A 23,015-nucleotide genomic window follows, 5' to 3' on the forward strand; every position below is an offset into this window, starting at 1 on the left:
AATTTATAAACACCACCTGATGTATATTACCCTGGAAGACCTGTGGTTTAATATATTAAGATAGGCTAAGTTAACCATAAAATATCAATGACCAATATTCATCTTTCATTCAAGCTACAGGTACCATCTGGGCTGGCAGGGCCACTCATGCACAGAGTCATACTGAGCCCGAGCTGATGGATGCTTCTACATTACCACCCAAAGCCTTATAGTTATCCAGACAGGAGAAGAAGGAGCTGGAGGGTTGCATCCAATGCTTATGCACTTTGGCCTGGAAGTGATGTATGTCACTTAGGTTATAATCAGATATAGTTGCATGGCTATTAATTGCAGGAGCTGGAAATATGGAGGACTATGGTTATGACACAGGCAGCAAATGTCTCTTCCATACTTGGAGATCACAGAACTCCTAAAGGCCAAGGCAGCACTAATGCTTCTGTGTGCTCCAGGTTTTGAGGACTGTCACCTAAACTACTTTAAGTATTAATTCATCATTATATAATTTTCATTTACTTATAAAGGACATGGTTAACTACCAGTTGGAACTTTATTTCTTTTTTATTTTTATTATTATTTATTTATTTATTTATTTATTTATTTTTGAGACAGAGTCTCACTCTGTGGCACAGGCTGGAGTGCAGTGGTGCAATCTCAGCTCACTGCAAGCTCCGCCTCCCGGGTTCATGCCATTCTCCTCCCTCAGCCTCCCGAATAGCTGGGACCACAGGTGTCCACCGCCACGCTTGGCTAATTTTTTGTATTTTTAATAGGGACGGGGTTTCACCGTGTTAGCCAGGATGGTCTCGATCTCCTGACCTTGTGATCTGCCCGCCTCAGCCTCCCAAAGTGCTGGGATTACAGGCATGAGCCACCGCACCCAGCAGGAACTTTATTTATTTTTTAATAAGCTGTTGAGTGTGACTTCACAGAGTTGATAAACCTCCAACCTAAGGTGGGAAAAAATTTCCCATTTTGATTATTCTTTACAACTTTATTGAAAATAAATATAGCTTCTCTCAGGCTTTTCAAAATAATATCTTACCTTTATTTACTGTCTACTTGGTGCCAGTGTAGTTGGCCTTTTATTTATATAGTATCTAATCTTCAGTACAACCCTGTAGGATAATATTATAATTCTAATTTTACAAATAAGGAAACTTAGACTCAGAGGGGTTAATATTCTTGTCCAAGGTCACACAACTCATAAGGGTTCAGGTAGAATTTGAACTCAGGACTATATGAAAACAGCTCACGGACCCCCATTACCATCTAATTGGAGTCTTGTGTGTCTGGAGGGCAGAAGGAGTGAATTGCTGAACTAACTTTTTCTATTGTCCCTTTGACCTCTAACACTCTATGAAAGCATTTTACAAGCCACAGTGGAAAACAGAAATCAAACTGCATCATATAAAAGTCTCTGATTTATCATGCATACATTATGGCTTGTTCCTTGTTTAAAGATGAGAGAAGAAAAATGAAAGATTACAATTTAGGGATTAATTCTACCGGACTATGAAGCAATGATGGGGCCCATTTCGATAACCAAAATAATAATGTAAATAATTATTTAAAAATTGGGGCAATTCTTCAACTTATACGCCAAATATACCTAATCTTGATTGCCCTGGGGATGATATTATTTGAGAAAGAATAAAAAGGACACATTCTAACTCTACCTTATAGATAGTTTACATAGTAAGATTGCCTTTAGGCCAAAAATTATTTTTACCAGAATAGTCAGATAGACCTGGGTATTTTCTGACCTCTGCTACTGCTTACCCGCATGGACTGGGACAATTCGTTTCTCAGAATCTCAGTATCTTCATCTGTAAAACTGGGTTGGGAGAGCCAAGGTAGCATAATGGGTAGCATTGGAGGCTCTGGGTCTAGACAAATGAACTCACTGGTTCCACCATTTACTCAATCAATACATATCTACTGGGGACCTCATAAGAGCTAGAAACTGTTGAGTGCTGAGGGTACACAGACAAGGAAAAACAAACACAATCCTTGTGCTTATGGTGTTTATAAGACAAAATACTTGATCTCTCCAAGCCTCAGTTTCAAAATCAGTAAACTGAGGATAATAGGGTTGATTGTAGGAATTTAAAGAAAGGCTGCATATGCATTGTGTTTAGCATGATGTCTGAGCAAAAATAAATGTTTGATAAATGTCAGCTGCTGTTATTAGTAGTAATAGTAGCTGTAGGGGTAGCAGTAAGTAGCGCAGTTCCTAGAACATCACGGGTACTCAATAAATGTTTGTTGAACAGTAAATGAATGAAACACTAATAGTGTAAGCTAGGTAATATAGCTGTAGTTCCTCAGAAGAAATAAACTGATGAAGACATTATTTATTTAATCCTTAGTACTTCTGGGGTTCTAGAATACAAAGAGTTTTGAGGAAATTCATATTAGTTGGCAGTCTAAAGTGGAAACAGGGTTAGAAAAAGCCAACGCAATATAAACCCTGATGCAAGAGCATTATCTATACATAAACTAGCACGTATGCAATTTTCAATGGTTATTATAGACAGTGAGTTAGAAGCAAAGGCACTTCCCTTTGGGGTGGAGTAGGTTCCAAAGGTGCCATGGAAGGTTGGATTAAAATGGGCTTTAAAGTCAGTTCTGTATTTGAATTGATGGTAAAGAAAAGGCAGACAAAGTTCCAGGCAGAGGAATGAAGTGAGCCAGATGTGCAGACCTGTACCTGCCTTAACTGGGGGTCTAAGAACTGAGAGCGTTGGCTAGTATATACAGGTTGTCCAGGCAAATGGTGCTGATAGAGTAGGAAAGCCTTTGGATGCCTGATTAAAGAGTATTAAATCAATCTATTCACAAACAAAAGGTCAGTGATCAAGCGGTAGATTTGCCAGCTCTGGAGCCAGATGACCTGGGTTCAAATCCTAGCTCCATCACCACTAGCTACGGGATCTTGGGCAGGTTGCTTAACCTCTCTGAATCTTGGTTTCCCCATCTGTAAAATGAAGATAAAAATAGAATCTACTTCATTAGGTTATTATGAAGATGAAGTGAGCAAATTAATTAATACATAGAAGTGCTTTGAATGGTATGTGGCACATGGTAAAGGCTATACTGTTGTTGTTATTGTTGTTTTTCAGATATTAGTACATATCCAAAGAGATTAGACTGTACTACCTAAAAAATCAGACAAGTAGCTATACTGTTTGTTCACTTATTCTACTATTTGTTTAGCAGCACTGACTGACTGCTGTGTCTAGGCACTGGTTAATACCCAGTCTCCATCCTCAGGTTGCAAAGACACACAAGTAATGATAATCGATGAGGAATGAGCTATAATGGACATGCTGTATTATACTGAATCAAAGGCACTATAAACTGTAATGCAAATGCTGATTGCAGAGATATTATAATGTGAGAAAAAAATGTTAAAGTCATTGAAACACAATATATTCAAGGGGCAAAGTGGCAGAGGGGGAGAAGTTCCTAATTCCGCCTAGTGGCAGAGGCAGGAGAGGCTTTAAAGAAGACAATTTAGTTAGGCTAAGATTTGAAGGATGACTGGGAGCTCGCCAAGCTGGGGTGGGGGTGGGGGTGGGGGAAAGGGAAATGAAGCACGCATGAGTAGGCACAGGGTCATCAGGGGCTGGGTGTGCTTGGGAAATAAGATCCATGGTGGACATGAGGCAGGAGAGAAAAGCAGAAGGTAAATCATGAATAATAATAATATTAAATATTTTTTAGCCTTTATCATATGCCAGACATGGTTTAAGCACTTTAATCCTCCCATCATCGCCATGAGGCAGATACTATGAGTGGTGCCATTTCCAGAGATGGGCACTGTGAACACTGCTGGTCAGCAGCACAGTCAGGATTTGAACCCAGATGGTCTGACCCCACAGCCCATCCACATCTGCTCACCACAGGAGGCACTCTATCCTTCTTACCCCTGGCATGGTACTGGGTCTGACTTCTACTCAGGGACTTGTGAATGGCTGCCAAATCAGACCCAAACACAAGACTACACCGAAACAGGACTTTAGAACCAACAGAGGCAATCCTTTTTGAATCTCTTCTGTAGACTGACTTTCTAACAACTGTCCTCTTTTAGTGATGTAATTACTTTGGTATTTGAAAACCAGTAACAAATTAAGGGAGCTACATAATCAACTGTTACATTAATTAGTCACCCTTTGTTGAAAGGCAAACATCCTGTTAAATGTGTGAGTTAATAATGACTTCTGCCTCAATTCTCAGTTTTGCACATTTGCAAAGGCTCAACTTCAGTCTCTGATGTGCAAACCTCTTTGTCTCTCCCGATAGCTATCTGAACCAAATCCAATCATCTCCAGGCAGCCTCAAGTTCCAACAAAGGAGAGGCCTGCATTCTGGCAGAGCCATTGAAATAAAAAGAAAGCTATAGATTCAGATAAGCAATGCACACTGTGGATTACAGGCATGCTGTTTATTGATTCATCCATCCACTCATCCTTCCACCCCTCACACATTGATTGGTCTTCTACTCTACACCAGGCACTCTGCTAGGCACTGGGGGTACAGGAGTGAGAATAAATAGCTGACATTCAGTAAGCACTTTCTATGTGCCAGGCATCTTTCTAGAGCTCTACCTACTTGATCTCAACAGTTCTAACTTTATGAGACAGGCAGTATGACTCTCTGAGATAGGCATTATTACTAGCAATTTATTTAGTTTACAGATGAGGACACTGAGGCATAGAGAAGTTAATTACCTACCTAAAGCCATTGAGCTAGTATGCTGGTGGAGCTGAGATTTGAATCCAGGCTGTCTGGCTCTAGAGCCTGTGCTTTAAATCCCTATGCCACATCACCTACTATTTCAGCAAGGGCCCTTGCTCTCAATGAGCTTGCAATCTAGCGAGGCAACAGACATGTAAACAATCAAATTTCAATGCAGTGCGGTCTTTGGAGTAATAGAGCCAAGTATGGAAGTAAAGGTCCCCGGAGGGTCTTCCCTTCAGTGATGCACATTCTTCTCTCTTTCTCTGTCTCTGTCTCTGTCTCAGTCTCTCTCTCTTTCTCTGAGCCATCACAAACAATTGCCACATACATTGCTAATGGGAGAACCCAATCTATATTCTTTCAGAAACAAAGTTCACATGATATTATGATGGCTTGAGATAAGCTTAAACTCTTCTGAAGGCTTCCAGCAACCATCCTGTGGTCATGTTTTAAGGATATTATACTGAAAGAGGCTACACTACTGTCTACATTATATTAATGCACTATAATGATTCCATTTTGTAAATAGTGTTTGGAATTGACTGACATGATACTAAATTTGCACTTGCATGCATAATTATTATTAAACTGAACTCACAGATTGAGCGCCAGGATTTAAAACAAACAAAAAAATCTATAATTACAGCATATGAATTTTTTCATTGCCAGTGCTTGTTTCAACTATTTTCATCGAGAAGGCTTTTATCTTCCTCTCTTTTCATTGTTTTTCTTGCTTCCAGTGGAGGCCAATGACACAAAGTATAGGATATCATGAAGTTGCAAAGTTCAGGAGATTTTCTTTCTCCTGTTTTAAATGGAAAAAAAATGTTTTTCATCTCTTGAACAGTTCATTTATTCATGTAAATGGATTTCCAAATGCATATCCACGTGTTTAAAGAGGCCAGAACATACTTGGGGCCTCCTGAAAACTGTCAGCTCAGTAGATTTCTGCATCGTGCCAGGCCCAAGGAAGCTCCTATGCAAGAAGCTGAAAGTGACCAAGACAAGGAGTAAAGTCGCTTTCTCCCCAAAATGGCAGGGCCCAAACAGGAGATGAAGGTCATTGCAATTATGACTGGGTCTCAGAAACCCACACGCTCAGGCCTTTCTAGAGAAAATGGACAAAATGGGGCTATTTTTAGTTGTTCTTCAGGCTCTGGCTAACACTAAATCCCTGGGTGCTAACAGCTGGAAGCACATTATCTAGTAAATGAGATGCAATGCTAAAAGGAAAGAAAGGTCAGCTGGAGGGGGGCTGGTGAAGAAAAACCAAACACAGAGAAGTGTAGGAAGGGACAATGTTACTCTGGTGAGGGGGCAGACAGGAAGATCCTCCAACTCCTTACACGTCACTGCAGATGTGTTCTCCTCAGGTGCCAACACCGGACAAGTCAGTGCAGCAGCAGCAGACTTAGGCCCAGATCTCCCAGGCTGGGCTAGATCTCACTGACTGGCTGTTCTTCAACACTAAGCAAGACACTTAACCTCTCTGAGCTCTGGTTTTCTCATTTTAAAAACACGACTAATCATCTACTGTGGACGTGACGTTTAAATGAGATCACCCTTTGCAAAGTACCTAGAGCAGATCCCGGGAGTACAGTAGTTATGTGTACTAGGAGTGTGGGGAAAGGAGGAGTCAGAGGACTTTTGAGAAGCCCAGGCATGCTGGGGAGGAGAGAGTAGGGAGGCGACACAGGGAAGCAGACAGGTGCTTGGCCCCCCAGCACCCTGTAGGCCACATCAAGTACTTTGATCTTAGCCTAAGAGCAAATGAAGCCACCAAAAAGCTTTAAGTGGAAGAGAATCATGAACATGCTCCATGTATATTTTAAAAGGATTGCTTGTGGCTTGGTTCTGCAGAGTGGGTTGAAATGGGGACAGAAGGACTAAGCGGGGAACCCAGGTAGGGGACCCCTATGTCAGTGCAGGGGAGTGATGTTGGGAGGCTGGGTGACAATGACCGCAGCTGACACAAGGAAAGGTAGGTACATCTGAGAGAGAGGTATGGCAGATTTATCATGAGTAGGTGAGGAGATCAAGGGTCTGTCTGTGCAAACTAGAAGGACAGTACTGCCAGAGACATGGGGCCCTGGAGGGTCCTGGGCCTCTCCCTCTACATGACAGTGGTAGGTTATGGGGGTGAGAAGGCAAGAACATCCTGAATACACATTCTGCAGTCTGCAGACTGGTACTGGTCTACACACTGTTTCTGATCTGTAACAAGAGACATATGAAAACCATAGTTTAGAAACCTCTATGGTGGTTGTGCTGCAACATCCAAGTGTGTTCTCAATTAATCCTGCCTCACTGAACAGGACATAGATGAGCTTGGTCACTCACAGGGTAGGTCACAAGTGGCCCAAAGCAGGCACTGTAGGACCACGTCTTGGTTGATGATGAATTGGAAAAAAAAAAACTAGTCCTTCACCACAGATAGTTTAAAAAGGAATATTTTTATAATCTGCACCAGTCAATTTAAAAATTTCAATTAACTTTTGCTGATTTTTAATAGTAAAGTAGGTTGACATTTAGAAAAGGTGTGCTGGGAATTAGGGCAGGGAGGGCTTAAATCGACTTAAGTCATGACCTGTTATTTTAATCTATGCCCTATGGTTGGGAAAGCTGTATATTTCAGGGAGACTGTGTATTTCAGGCTGGAACTTTATGGGGAATGATGTGAGGAGAACTGAGTGAACGTGTTGCCCATCTAGTGTACTCACAAGACGGGGCTGATGACAGCTGCCCCAAAACAACCTGGACTTCATGGCATTCGGTTGAGAGAGAGGTTAGGAAATGACAGGAGGAGAGTCTTGAGATGATGAGACCATGAATATATGAACTGTAGAAGAAGTTGGGTGGGGGCTGGGGAGTGAGTGGGCAGTCTGGGACAGTCATAACTAGAGTCTGAATTCTGCCAAGATTTGGGAGCTGGGACTTTGGGATGCCAGCTCAGAGAGAAGGTGGGGCCCCCCTTCCAGTCCTAGGCTGCTTCACTACCTGCCTGAGTAATATCTGCCCTTGAATTCTAAGCCTTTTTCCCAGGGCTGTCTCTAGGTTAAGTACCCTTGCAGTAAACTCCAACATTTGTACACAAATGAAAATGATCACAGCCATGCACAGATGAAGGAAAAACAGGGGTGAGGGTAGGAGACGCCAGCAGGTAAGATCTTCAACTGACTCATCAGTTTGGTTTTTGGCCATCAACAGATTTGGGGTCTTTGTAGGCAAATCTGGATATTTTACAAATTCTTTTCCTTCCATCTAGTAAACAGCAAACACCCTAATTAATGCAAAATACCTCTATGGCAAGAACACACTGGGATTGGGGGTGGGGTGGTGTGAATTAATTGGACCCTGGAGCAAATGAAAAAAAAATGCATTTTTCAAAAAAGCAAACCTCAAAGAGCCCAGAAGAGAAAAAGCCCTTTCAAGCGCTTCCCAGTGTGTGGTGTGTGTGTGTGTCTGTGTGTGTGTGTATTTTCCATCCCCCTGTTGTTTGCTGCTCCAAGGAAAGGTGGGAGCAGCCGCAGTCGCCCTTAGTAGGTGCCTGTCACATTGTGTTATTACAATTCTGTATTTCAATTAAAGCAATGTAGCCAATTTAAAAGTTCTACCGTGAGCCATTCACGATGCAGAGATCTAAGGATTCAACTCACACATTTTAATACCCCACTTTTTTCCCTTCTTCTCATTTTCATGTAAATCAGGTTGAACACTGTCTTTTTTCTTCTTCCTCTAATCTAACCCTCAAAATATAATGCCAATTAAACAGTCTGCAAAGACAGCCTCCAGAACCCAGCATGATTTTGCTATGCCACTTTGATTTTCCTTAACGTTTTCTTCTTTTATTTCCTTTTCCTTTTTTATTTTCATGTTCTAATTTTATGAATGATGTGGTTTCCTTTTAGGGCATACATGGGGTTTGGAGGAAAGTGGACCTGGATCCTATCACTGATGGTCCTTTCTGACTGACTGTGGGAAACAGCATGAACCTGGAGCTGGGGGCCCTGAGTCTGAATCCAGGCTTGGATGCTTCCTGTCTTGGGTGAGGCCAAGCAGATCTCTTAACCTCTGTAAGCCTCGGGATCCCGATCTGTCAAATGCAAAGACTAAAACCTACTTTGCTGGATTGTCATGTCTTGTGAGGCCCCTAGCAGGTGCTCAGTTCCTAATAGTTTCTCTCCCTTTCTCTTAGGCAACGATAATCACATCGGGTTAACCTTTTCTGAAACAGAAACGAGATCTTAAATGGCACATAGAGCTCCTGCTATTTTATTTGATGTTTCAAAATCTTTCCTCCTGTTCATTTATCCCCCTAACACCCCCCCCCATCAGTATTATCTCTGCATTGAATGTTTGGGGGGAATTTTTAGTTCCTTTAATCTCAACAAGACACAGGCTCATTAAGTCCATCTCTACACAGCGGGTGGAAGGAGCGGGTGTTCTGTTTGCCCAATTTAAATGCTTCATCACAGATTTTAGGTCATTTCCCAAGTTTGGCGGGGTGCACAGCTCTTTTATAAACAACAAGCATAACCCATCTTTGATGTATGTGGGTCTGGATCAGTCCCAAAGGGATCCAGTTGATGGGGTGGAGCTTGCTTCCTTTCTGTTTCTTGTCTAGGGAGGCCCATGTAGAACTGGAAATCATACAAATTTGAATCTTCACTCATATATCACAAGGCCTTCAAAGATTATGAAAATGCTTGAGAAATAAAGTGGTTTCCCTTTGATCCAACCGTAGGAAAAGGTACAGCTATTTAAAGACACAACATTGATGAAGTAATAAAGGAATAGTATTCACTCATTCTTCATGTCCCCGGCCCTTTCTGTATCTTAAACTTGATGGAAAGTAAGATAAATCATACCCTGTGCTTGCCCTCAAGACTCACAGATTGATAGAGGGAGAGATCCAGCTAAATAAACACATTATAAAAAAATAAAAACAGATACAAAGTAGGAGATAGCACAGATGAAGCAATAGCTACATCTATTGGGGTCTCAGGGAAAGTTCTATCTACAGATAGGTGGTCAGGTTATCATGAGGCTGGAAACAACTTCAGGCATCATTGTGTTGATATCTCTAATTGATAGATAAGGTGATGAAGGCATAGTACGTAAAAAGATTTCCCCAAGTATTAAAAAAAATCAACCCAGGCCAGGCATGGTGGCTCACGCCTGTAATCCCAGCACTTTGGGGGGCTGAGGCAGGTGGATCACCTGAGGTCAGGAGTTCAAGACCAGCCTGACCAACATGGTGAAACCCCGTCCCTACTGAAAATACAAAAATTAGCTGGGCATGTTGGTGGATGCCTGTAATCCCAGCTACTTGGGAGGCTGAGGCAGGAGAATCGCTTGAACCGGGGAGGCGGAAGTTGCAGTGAGCCGAGATTGCACCATTGCACTCCAGCCTGGGTGACAGACTGAGACTCTGTTTCATTAAAAAAAAAAAAAAAAAAAATCAACCCATCAAGCATCTCAACATAATATAGAGTGCTGCCTATTATATGCTGGACCTTGTGATAGGTTTTAGGGGAACATAGAGAACCAGCACTCAAGGAGCTCTAGAATTAAAGAGGAGGAGCCACAGGGATACCCCCACCCAGAACACAGTGTGATACGTGCCGTCCTGCAGGAACAACTGTGGAAAAAAGCTTGGATCAGTCCAGACCAGAACTGAGGACCAACAGCCCATGGAATATAAATTTTAAAGCCTGAAGGACCTTAGAAATGAGTAAATGTAGGTCCAGAAAGCTGAAGGATTCTTTCTGTGCTGGCTCACAATTTGAACTTACAAGATTCCTTTGTAAGAACACTAAAGTATATAGTCCTACTGCTTGAATGAAACCAGAAAGAAGCAGGAGCAGCCCAGGTTTGGGTCTAGACAGTCTTGGTTTGGAAGACAACCTCTGCTTCTTCCCAAGCTTTGTGACCCTGGACAAGGCAACTGAGCCTTGTGCATTTCTGTTTCATCTCTAAATAGGGATAATGATGCCTAACTCAACAGAGTGTGTGGGAGGACTAAATGAAATAATAGATGCATCATTCCTGGCACTTGGTAGATGGTCTTGCATCCCATCTCATTTCTTCCCTGAGGCCCTGCTATTCAGTGTCAGCTTTGGTTATGTCTTTTTTCCTGTATCTTTCTGAATTCATATGTGTGGTCCTTGTAAAGAATGACTTTCTGACAGCCTCTCCAATCAAGGCTGTAGGGTAAAAACGCAAAATATCCCAGCACAATATATTATCCCCAAATGAGCCTATTAGCAGCCTCAGAGCAAATTGCTCCAAGGACTCACTGAGAGACATATTTGTTAAATTCGGTAAGGAGAAATGACTAATCCAAATGAATTCTTATAAGTCAATCTCACATCCCAGAAACGTTTCATTACTAGTTTTCATTACCAGATTACTGGCCTTATCTACCTGCACTCAGCTGTTTGGAACACGTTTTCTCTGCTCCATGCAGCAGTTCCTTCTCACCCTAGGATGTTACCCTGCACGTCACTATCCTGAACCTCTAACCAGGCTAGCTTCTTCCTACTCATCCCCACAGTACTGTTCTCTACATTTCCCACCATTCATTACTCTTTTAGCTATTTATTATTGTCCTATCTCCTTCATTAAAATGTAAGCTCCTTGAGGCAGGGCATCGTCTTGCTTAAGACAACCTTCTCAATGTTTAGCCCAGTACTTAGCCCAGAATATGAATATGAACTCCCTAAGTCCAGTATGAGGGTCAAGAGAGTGGACTGTGGAGTGAGATTGCTTGGTCCTGACTCTTGGCTTCACCAGCTGCTAGCTGGGTGAAGTAGGGTAAGCTGTTGAAACTCCTACAGTGAGTATCTCCAACCGGAAAGGACAAATGATAATAGTACCTTCTGCAATGTGTTTCTAGGAAGACTAAATACAATGAGTCATGTCTGGCTTCAGGACACTGGCTGCCACATCCCCACTCCTGCCACCTGACTGGTCACTGTCATGCCAGGTTGCACCAAGGCTGGTATTGAGAACCACATGAGATGTGTCTCAGTTCATCTTTGATGTACTGTCACTTTGAATACCGTCCCTAGCTAACTCTGAGTTTTTGGCTTAGTAACTGGGACTTCCATCCTGCTATGGCCATTTGGACTTGGTGTCTGTATTTGGCATATGAATTTGGATCTTTCTGATGGACTGAAATTTGTCTTCTGCTCTGGCTTTCTCCCACTGCTTCTAGGGGGCCTCTTTGGAGAAGCAGGTACCCAGCAAGCCCCAGACCTCTCATTCTGAGGACCAGCAGCCAGGGGCAACTCACCTCTGAACCCTGATCCTGACTTTGTCCTCTTCTCCTCTAGTTCATGTTGGGGTTCTAGCATGCTTGTGTCTGGCACCCAATTTATGACATGAGTTTCCAAGAAACTCCCTTAGTTTATTCATGCTTGTTAAGGAAAGTGCTTCGTTTTGAACACCCAGCAGACTCTTTTAGTGACCTCTTGATTTGACTCTCTGGAAAACAAACATGGCTCTCTTCCAGAAAAGCTGGGCTGTCCCAAATAGTCTGGTATGGATGGAACTTGGAGTATGAATTTAAAAAAATAAGAGAAGCAGCTTTGCAATGTGGGAATTCAAAGTATGGTGTAGTAGCTTTGCTTTTTCCTCAACACTGCAATTATTACCACAATTTTATGAATATAGTTTGTAAATGCTAGCTAATATTTTGAGCAGTTATCATGTGCCAGCTCTTATGCTCAGTGATCCAGATGCATTGCTCACCCAACCCTCCTCACAGCAACCCTATGAGGGAGGCATTATTATTTTTCTCTTATTCCTGATGAGAATAGGAAAACATACCCGGCACATAGTAGGAGTTCCTAAATATTTGTCGAATGATTGCATGAATCTTAGACCATTAAATGATTTCTAAACTCAATCTGTTGTGCTTCTGAAATCAATAGCCCCAGGTGTCATTTGAATGCTCATAAGCCTTTAAATCATGGCTAGATCAATGCATGTTACCTCCCAGGGAAGCAGAAATTTACCACTTTCCTCCCTTGACAGGCCACGGGGACAGGACAAGGCCTGAGATTACAAAAGGGGCTTTGTGACACAGGAGACATAACGAGATCAACCTTGAGAGTAGTTTGCACATGAACACTTTATGTTAATGGGCTATAAGTAAAGTGGCCACATGTGTCTGTTCATTTATCACATGCTTATAGAGCATCTGTTCTGTCCAAGGGTCTGCTCTCTGCTAGGAATAAAAACATGAGCGAGACCAGTCTCTGCCACCATTTACAAACAAAAACTAGGCCACATGTTCAAGAGAAGTGAGTGTTCTAATGGTACAAAATATTCTCAATTCAGGCTCATCTTGGAGAACTGGAGCCCTGCTACCTTCAGAGCTGGCTGTACCCTGCTTCCATGTTCAATGCTGTTCTGCAAGCAACCGGACACTGTTTTCAGATCTGCCATGAATGGGGTTTGTCACTTTTGGCTCAACTCTTTAACATCTGTTGGCCTCAGTTTCCTTTTGTTTACATTAAGAAGGTAAATTCATTCAGTGACAACAAGGTTCCTTTCAGCTCTGAAATTCTATAATGTTGCAGTGGTTACATCTATTAAAAACAATTCGTTGATTCACTCAACGTATTTAGTGAACATTACTTATATTCCAGGAACTGGGCCAGATAATCCAGATATAAATGTTGATGATACACAGTTCCTGCTCTCAAACCCTCAGCCTAATGAAGGAGAGTAAACAATCTTTCGTGAGGCACACAGTAACCATTATTACAGCAATCATTTACATCTATTGACTCCTTGCTATAAACTCAGTACTTCATGGGCGTTATTTCATTTTCACCTTAGAATAACCCTATGCTACAGGCACTATAGCTATGCCCACTCGCAGATGACAAAACTGAGATCTAAAGAGATGGAGCAACTTGCCTGAAATCACACATCAGAAAGTTAAGACTCAAACCCAGATCCTGCCTAACTCCAGCCTTGATATTTATATATCAAGGCTTATATAAACAGAAATATATATAATATATATTATTGAATAAACAGAAATACATATAGTACAGAGAAGAATATGCTTAGAATAACAAAAGAGTGCAGATAAAGGGAGTGAGGGAAAGAAGATGAATTCTTTGGGCCGTAACCAGGGTAGGTCTCCAGGAGAGGAGCCGTTTGAGCCAGACCTGAAGGATGGGTGGGCCTTGGATGGCGGATATGGGAAGAAATGGAATTGTCCAGCAGAGGAAGGAAAGGTTGACACACCCATACCCTGAGCCCCTCTCCAGCCCTCACAGGCCACGTGTTCAAGAGAAGTGAGTGTTCTAATGGGACAAAATATTCTAAATTCAGGCTCATCTTGGAAATTCAGAGCCTGTTACTCTTAGAGCCGGCTGTAACCTACTTCTATGTACTACTGTTCAGACACTGTTTTCAGATCTGTCATGACACAGTCCAGACAACACAGCCATTGTTACAACATCAGGGCTGGGGCACACCCTCCAGCCAGGAAAGGAACTCTTGTTTTATCTACACCAATTTCTGCCTGTGTGTACAAGCACCTGCTAGCACTGGTCCACCTGCAACACCCTTCCCTCTAATTTTTTCATTCATGTCTTCTTCTAGAATTCAACTCTCAGCTTAAGTGTCCCCTTATCAGAGACACCATCCCTGTCTCATCCCATCTAATTTTGCTATCCCTCCCAGTCACTCCCTATCACATTACCCCGAATTTTTAAAAACTACACAGTACTTATCACTATCTGAAATTATTTTATTTACATGGTTATTGCCTGACTCTTCCAATAAAATAGAAAGTAATAAGGGTCATGACTTTGCCTGTCTTATTCACTCAGTGCTGAATCCTTAGTGCTTATTATAGGTGATCAATACATAGTTGCTGTATAGATAAATGACTAAATAATCTCTGCCCCAAGTCTAGGATGCATTTGTAGTGAGGTCGGGTTAGGTGTTCAGGAGTCAAGAACTTAAATTTTGCTCTAGGCTCTAAATGCCCTACATGTATAACTTCTACCTTTGAAACCTCAGTTTCAATGTCTGCCAAATAAGAATAATGATATTCCCATTAAACACTATGGATTATTAAAAGTATCTAACACATAAAAGTCCGTGATGTCCTTATGACATTCTTGCTGTCATATTTTCTTTTACTCTAGGGTTTAGAGAAAAAGAAACAAACATGGAAAGAAAATGACCTGTTTTATTTCAGCATTCCTTTATGTCTGTCTAGAAGTTTGCTTCCAGCTAGGAGACTAAGAGCATAGAATAGCTGCAAGGCCCTGTGTTCAGACTGACAGCCAAAGACATACTTCAGAGTAAGTGCTGCAGTTACTCCCACTGTGAATCTCCAGGCTAGGCCTTCCTGAGTCAGTGCATGCAGGGAAGCTTATTGTGGTCTCTGTCAATTTCCACAATGGTCTTCTGTTCCAGCCCAGCAGGTGAATCATCACCAAGATGGGGCAGTCCAATTCCTGACCTAGCGGGCCCTTATGCTGTCTTCTACGTGAGAAATTCATCTGGATTTTCAAAGAGTAACTATGAATGAAGCTGCCAAGCCCAGGTAGAGAGCAAGCTGAAAATGTCTCTTTCAACTAGGAGGCCAATGTGTTTTTCTCCAGTTTCCTGTAAACTCAAGGGGCCAGTCATAACATAGGCTACCCATGAGTAACAATTCCTTTGCACATGAGCTTTCAGGTCAGCTATACACCAAATGTTTTATAACTAATAAATATCACCCAAAGAAGCTCAATTTGATTAATGTAAGAAGATGTACAAACGAATCAATTTTTTTGTTCATTCACTCATTTGTTCATTCAGATAATTGGCAAATGCTAATTCAGCCCTAATAATGGGCCAGGTGGCATACTAGACAGTAGGGGGTACAAAGATGAAAAGAAACAGTTTCCAAGCCTAAGAAAACCACGTTTTAGAAATGATGACAAATATACATTCAATCAATTACAATACAATTCTAAGTGAATGTTGGAGACAGAAACATGAAGGACTAACAAAATTAAATAGAATGGCAACAGTGGCAAACACAGGCAAGAGGAACATACCACTGTGGGGGTAAGGGGAGGAAAAAGGGGGTGAACAGACTCACTCACTGAAGGGCACTGAGGTTAGATGACAGTTTTTAGAGCTGAGCCACAGGCTCTGAGAATGGCCTGTTTCATAACCCAGCTCTGTCACTTACCACCTGAGTGGGTTCAGCAAGTCACTTAACCATTCCATGTCTTGTTTTTCACATTTGTCAATTAAATGCTAAATAAAAATTGGCCATTATTGTTACTGATAGGCTACCCCACTAATCCTTTTAGAAATCCTATAAAATAGGTATTATTATCTCCATTTTATAGGTGAGGAATTTGAGGCTATTTAAGGACTTGGCTACTATTATTAACTCTATTTCTCAGATGGGGAAATTGAGGTACAAAGACCTTAAGTAATTTTAGCTTTTAAAATTCTAGATTAGGGGTTGGCAGACTTTTTCTGCAAAGGACCAGACAATAAATTTCTTCTGCTTTGTGGACCATACTGCTTCTGTGGCAACAACTCAATGCTGCCTTTATAGTGCAAAAGCAGCCATAGGTAATATGTAAACAGATGAGTGTGATTGTATTGCCATGAAATTTTATTTATGGACATTGAAATTTGAACTTCATATAATTTTTGCATAATGTGAAATGTTTTCATTTTGATTTTTTCAACCATTAAAAAATGTACGCTTGCAATCAAAAACCGGTGGTATGCTAGATTTGGCCTATAAGCCATTGTAGTTTTGTCAACTCTGGCTCTAGATCCAGGAAGTGTTTCATTACAGCCTGATTTTAAAGACTACTCTTTTAACTACTAGGTATATATAGCACTGACTGAAATCCAGACCTTTCTCATTCCAAAGCATGTGATCTTTCTCGTAAATACTCATAAATACCACTACTCCTGAGGACTATTTGAGAAGGATGACCAAATAATTCAAAATGCACATACTCTTAGAGTACAGTTCAACTCTAGGATGGAACACTTCCCTGCTGTTTTTGGTGATGCCTCAAAGTCACTGTATGAATTAGTTTCTATGGAAACTGACCTGGTCTCCCTGCCTTGGTGATCCTTGTTTAAATTCCCTTCCCTGGCCAAAATATGAATGTAGAACTGGGGATCACTCACTATGTTCTCATCTGCATCCCCAGCCAATTTGTATTTAGGATTTCAGATGCACCAACGTTATAGGTAGAATTTGTTTGTGAATAGACCGCTACAGATATACGAGAAAATGGAACAAACGCCGTTTATGAATGTTTCTTTTTTATTAGGCTCAGAATTTTTAAGGAAAGAAAATGGAAGGAAGATGATGCTATTTTCTTCTTTGCTGTATCTTCAAGTTCAGTTACTATAATTTAATAGATTCACTTAAAAGGGGGTTGGCAAAGAAACCTCCTTGGAAATGTATCAGTATCAACCGGAAAAGCTTCTGCTCTTTCTTAAAGAGAATTCCATTTATGTTAAGAAGAAAAAAAAAGCAAAGCAGGATAGTTAGGTCTGTAATCAGTTTTCAAATTACAGAAGATGTTGTCCATTGTTGCAAAATGGGGCTCTGACAAGAAGTCAATCAGGTGTATTTGCTGCATCGATTAGCACTTCAGTATGAAGGAAAAGGTGAGGCTTTACCAAGGCCAGCTCTCCAGGGACTACATAAGCTCCTGCACTCAGAAGCATCAGTTTCACTCAGATATTTTACTCTGTTTGCCTTCCCAAAGCAAGCAGTGGATTCACTGAGGTCCTCCATATTAAAAAGAAGTTGAGAACCCTTCTGTTTGGAGTGAGACTAAAATCAGAGTGAGATGAGTTGAAGCGGCAAGACCTGGTGGTCATGACAAGGACTTCTGAATTCAGACCATCTGGGTTCCATTTCAGGCTCTGCCACTTAATCATCACCATGTTGCTTAACTTTGTAAGCTGTCCTTTTTTTTTCTTTCTCTATCTGTAGAGATAATAATAGTATCCATATAGTGGGGTTATTAGGAGAATTAAATTGAATAAATGCATGTAAAGTGTGCAGTGCATGGCCAACACCATCCTCAACACACCCTAGTGCCAGCACCTGCCCAGTCCCATTCTGCAGCTCCACCTCCATCTCACCGGCTCACAGAAGACGCTAAACAGAAACACAGGAGGCAATGCATTTACTGCAGGACTTAGATATCTCCAGTGAGTGTAGCATTGTGGCTAAGAGGGTAGGCTTCGGGGCAGACAGATGCAGGGCCTAATCCCAGCTCTGCTACTTACCAGCTTTGTATCCTGAACAAGTTACCTATCACCACCAAGCCTCAGGGTTTCTCATATATTAAATCACACTTAATTTTAGAAATGTTCTGGGGATTATAAAGTACTTAGCATGGGGTTGTCACAGAGAAGGTCCTCAGTAAGAAGTGGGCATTTTCATCACAGGACAGAGTGAGACATACTCTAGAACAGCCCAGTCTGAAAGCTTTGTGTGATGATGTAAATGTTCTATATTTGCACTGTCCAATAAAGGAGTCACTGGCTACATGTGGCGCTTGAAATGAGCCCAGTGTCACTGAGAAAGTGAGTTCTTAAATTTTATTTTATTGTGATTAATTTAAATTTAAATCTAAATAGTCACCTGTGGCTAATGGCTACTGTATTGCATGTCACAGTTCTAGAAGCATGGCCAGAGGCTTCCTGGGTATTCAGAAAGGAAAAGGAGGGCTTTCAGTTGGGAAAGGCTCAGGAAGAAGGCAACATGAGCTGGGGTCTTCTCTGAGCAGGCTTCTTAAAGGTGAAAACACTCCAACTTGTGGAAGCCCTGGCTGTGCTTTGGGTAATAAGGAAATGGGGCATTTTTCAAAAGAATAGAGTTCTTGTAAGGAAGAGATCTGAAGTTAGACTGGGTTGAAACATCTCTTCAAAGGGCCTGATTATCAAACAAATGATGTAACCACATCAGGCCATGGGGAAAGTTGTTCAGCAAGTAGGAGACATAGAAACAGTCATTCCTGCCTCCATAGTTCAGCTGTGATGTGGGGTTGCCAGTCCATCTGTCCCTACTATCTATGGTCTCCTGTATCATGAACATGGCAGTGACCTCTGTGGCTGGGCTTTCCAAAGCTCCACAGACTGTGTCCAAAAACTGTTGGGGACACGCTTCTCATCTTGGCATGCTGAGCAGTTTAGTGTGGATTCGCTTAGAAAGCAGGTTGGGAGGCCTGGCGTGGTGGCTCACCCTGTAATCCCAGCACTTTGGGAGGCCGAGGCAGGTGGATCACAAGTTCAGGAGTTCGAGACCAGCCTGACCAACATGGTGAAACCCCATCTCTACTAAAAATACAAAAATTAGCCGGGCCCAGTGGCACGCGCCTGTAATCCCAGCTACTCAGCAGGCTGAGGCAGGAGAATCACTTGAACCCGGGAGGTGGAGATTGCAGTGAGCTGAGATCACGCCATTGCACTCCAGCCTGGGCAATAGAGTGAGACTCTGTCTCAAAAAAAAAAAAAAAAAAAAAAGAAAGAAAGCAGGTTGGGAGAAGCTATCCCAGTGTTTTCTGGTGTTTTCCAAACTGTATCTATATCTAGCCATAAGATACACTGTCCTCATTTTATTATCCAAGTGGCCAAGCAGAGGCCAGCAGAAGCAAAGTGGACAGTTCAGTGTCTCCCCAACTCATACAATGATAAAGGAAGCCCAAGGACAAAATGTTCTTAGGGCCAATATTGTCTCTTGCAGACAAGATGGTGGAAAAAAAGAAGATTATAGCCCAATGGCTTCAATACCAGATTTACCTTGAATCTACTAGGATACCTGCCATCCTTGAAATATACAGCAGGAGAAATAAGTAATTAGGTGGCTTTTTACAGCTCTCTATAACTGCTATGAATTAATAGGAGCACCATGGAGAGAATTCTTTTTATATCCTGGCATATATCTTTCAGTACAAAGCAGAACTAGCATTTATCCTGAATAGAGATCTTAGTTACTTCATCCCGGCACTCTGCAAACATTGTCCAGCAGACAGCAAAATGAGAGTCGAAGACAGTCACAGATCTTCTAATTTGTACCTACATGGAAAAAACTGGATGATTCCTGGCTTTGACTTCTGTTTCCTCCCTAGTCGCTCTCCAATTCTCTCTCCAATTAAGATACAGAATTGGTGAGAAGAGTAATTTGGCTGAAAAAGCTGGAACTCTTGCAGTGAAAAGTAGGGTTTTTTTACATGGGAAAATGTACTGCATATAAAAAAGCGCTTTTCAATTGGCAAGGACAAAGGAGACACTCTACTGGCTGGCCATCTCTGTAATAAACATACTGACTAATATTTGCAGATGGCTGTAGAGTTCAACTTTTAAACACACACTTTCACTTATATCACATTGGAGCCGCATAACTACTCTGCGAAGCAGGTGTGGAGAATTAAGATGAAGCTACTCATTTTATAGATGAAGACAATGAGGCTCAGGCTGATTAAGTCCCCAAGATCACAGAACTGGTGAGCTATGGAGCCCTCCTATGAACTTCTATTTTTATTTTCAAATAATGCCATCTCTTCATTTTTGAGGCAACTAGCAGTAACAGAGCATTTTGCAGTTTTCAAGGCATTTCTAACATTCATAGTACAATTCAAGCCCTCGGTGCAGTGCGGTATATGTCATTATTTACAAATGAAGAAACTGAGTTCCAGGGCATTTGTAAAACCTGCCAAGACAATGTAGCTCACAGGTGGAGCCAGTATTGAATTTGTTATCTTCTCCACTCATCTTTTATTGGGTCTAGGTGCTGTTATGTTTCTAAGCTCAGTTTTACTGGTGCTCTCACACTGAAAATATTTCTAAAATGTTGAAGTCCACTTCCCTTCTGGTCCTAGTTATAAAAGGCTCATGAAAGTAGTGGGATTTTTGAGGGGGGTGTGGGGAGGGGGGATGGTAGGCTGGTCCTGACGTTGCCTCAACACAACACTCTGTGACCTAGTGTTCAGCTGGCTTGCTGCATCAGGAGCCAAAGGCTAAGAATACAGCCAGGCTGAAGTGAGGACACAGCCCAGTGACTTACTTTCAAGGATACTCAGGTAGTCAGAGAAAGAGCTGGCATATATCTTTCAGTACAAGACATATAGGTATAAGCATATAGAGGTGGTGTATCTCTTGGATCTGATTCCTTCTCTGATATTTTATCCATTTCACAAGATTAGTCTAATTGCAAAACAGCTGGAGGAGACAAATATACAGCCATGGAAGGTGTCAACAATGATTATCATCATTCGAACAGACTCTCTAATGACAGTGTAGAGCTGCTGTAACAACATCAACAAATTTTCATGAAAGGAAAAGGAAGTATAGGCCATACTGCAAAACTGATTGGAAGTCTGAAGGGGCCACATAATTCATGTTTGGACAAGACACAACATGTATTAAGACACAACATATACTAGCATATCCCAGTTAAGGTGAAAGATTCCACCAAGAAAGATTATTCCATCTTCACCTCCCTCAGCTTAAAACAGACTGGGAGACTAACAGGGATGTATACGTAGCTCCTGCCTTCTATGCTAAAAAAGTCAGAATAAGGACCAATGTATGAAGTTAACATGGAGAGAATGTAGCAGGCAGGCAGAAGTTGTAGAATGAATTTACAGTTTGGAATCTAGAAGACCCAGGTTTAAATCCTTCATCAGCTGCCTTGTGCACATTCCTTAACTTCTCTATGACTGGTTTTTTTATTTGTAGATGGAAATAATGATCAATGTTAGCTTATTCTTTCTGATCACTTACTGCATGCCAAACACTGTTCTAGGCACTTTACATATATTACCTTGTTTAATCTTCTCAATACACCTGTGATTTTACACTATAACTGTTTCCATTGTCTGATGAATAATCTGGGGTACAGACAAGTTAAGTAATATGCTTGAGATAACATGGCTAGAAATAGCTCGCATTTATGATGATAGAACAGCAGTATAGACAGGTAGCTGACATATAGTAGAAGCCCGTAAGTGACAGTGTCAGTTACTATTATGAATATTATTATAATGGTCAGGTATAATTCACCTACAAAGATAAGTGCTAAGCCTATCGCAGCTTTGAATGTTTAAACTGAGGCTGAAAGACTGCCGGTGGACCACTTGTCTCAACTGGATCTACAACTTTTCCAGTGATTTGATTCTCTTCAACTATTTACATACAGGGCAGTTCCCTCCCTGACTTCTTCCAGCACCAAAACTTGCTTAATCTAAACAATGCAAGATTTATGGCATTCCTTTATTTGAGTTGATTCCAATGTGTCAGCAGATATGAATTACAACATAAAATAATTATACTTGAAAGTGAAATGTAGGCCTAAGGATTCTGGTTGGCTATCATTTTTTTAATGCCAGTGATTTCTGAAAGACTGGATTTATTTAGTGTCTTTCCCCCCTCCTCTTGAGCACTTAGAGACCTCAGCTTCTAGGAATGCCATTCCAGCTACCTTTATTACAGACCACTTTATCAATTACCCTGACAGTTATTCATACTATACATGAATGTACTTTATATTTGTCACATGTGCTCTGTAGACAAGGTAATAAAACGTATAATGCATCTTTCTTATCAGTAAATCCTAATGGGTGGTACAAGCCAAAGACTCTTGAATGGGAACCTCTCAGAAGTGTGACAGAACTGAAGTAGCTTGAATTTATATATAAACAAATTAATGGAGTCTTTAATGCAGCATGAGAAGGGGGTTTCCACAAGGAAGATTAGCAATTATGGCAGGAAGAGGTCTATTAAATCATCTTGTCCATCCCCAACCATGTGGGCGGTTCCCTACAGCAAAACCCCCTTCCAGATTAAATTACCTAAGAGATTGGGATTCCGACCTTGGGAAACAGTTGACTGCCCAATCAGTCTCCCCATTTTCAGTTCTTTCAGTTACATGACAAGAGATTGGAAAAAACAAACAGCAAATGAAAAGTGACTATATCCCAGGGAAAATCCTTTATCAGCCTCTTTTTCTTTCTTCCTTTCCCAACCTCTTTTTAGTCTCCTAAAATCATTTTTATTGTCAGATATGGCATTTCAGGTGAATTTCTCTGCCTCTACTTTCTCTAATTTCAGCTATGTGTAGAAAGTGACAACAAATAAAGGCTAGCCCAATGGAAAGAATATTTTTTTGGGCTGGAGTTGACAACACCTGGGTTTCAAAACTGACTTCAACATCTACTATCTGTGATGTCAGTAAGGTCACTACTTATCTC

General features: G+C 41.4%; 1 protein-coding gene across 8 annotated transcripts in view, besides 1 other annotated feature; it reads right to left on the reverse strand.

Moving 5' to 3' along the window:
- The window catches only part of DAB1 (DAB adaptor protein 1), a 1,551,949-nt gene that overhangs the window by 102,416 nt on the left and 1,426,518 nt on the right, over nt 1-23,015 (reverse strand). The window lies entirely within an intron of this gene.
- Nucleotides 14,901-15,435: an enhancer, noted in NCBI's record as "OCT4-NANOG hESC enhancer chr1:57577767-57578301 (GRCh37/hg19 assembly coordinates)". NCBI's record gives its function as "activates a minimal SCP1, AML or CMV promoter by ChIP-STARR-seq in naive H9 embryonic stem cells {active_cell/tissue: H9 hESC(naive)}" and the evidence as "EXISTENCE:reporter gene assay evidence [ECO:0000049][PMID:30033119]".

Source organism: Homo sapiens, chromosome 1, assembly GCF_000001405.40.
Source record: "Homo sapiens chromosome 1, GRCh38.p14 Primary Assembly".
In the NCBI taxonomy this organism is placed as follows: Eukaryota; Metazoa; Chordata; class Mammalia; order Primates; family Hominidae; genus Homo; species Homo sapiens.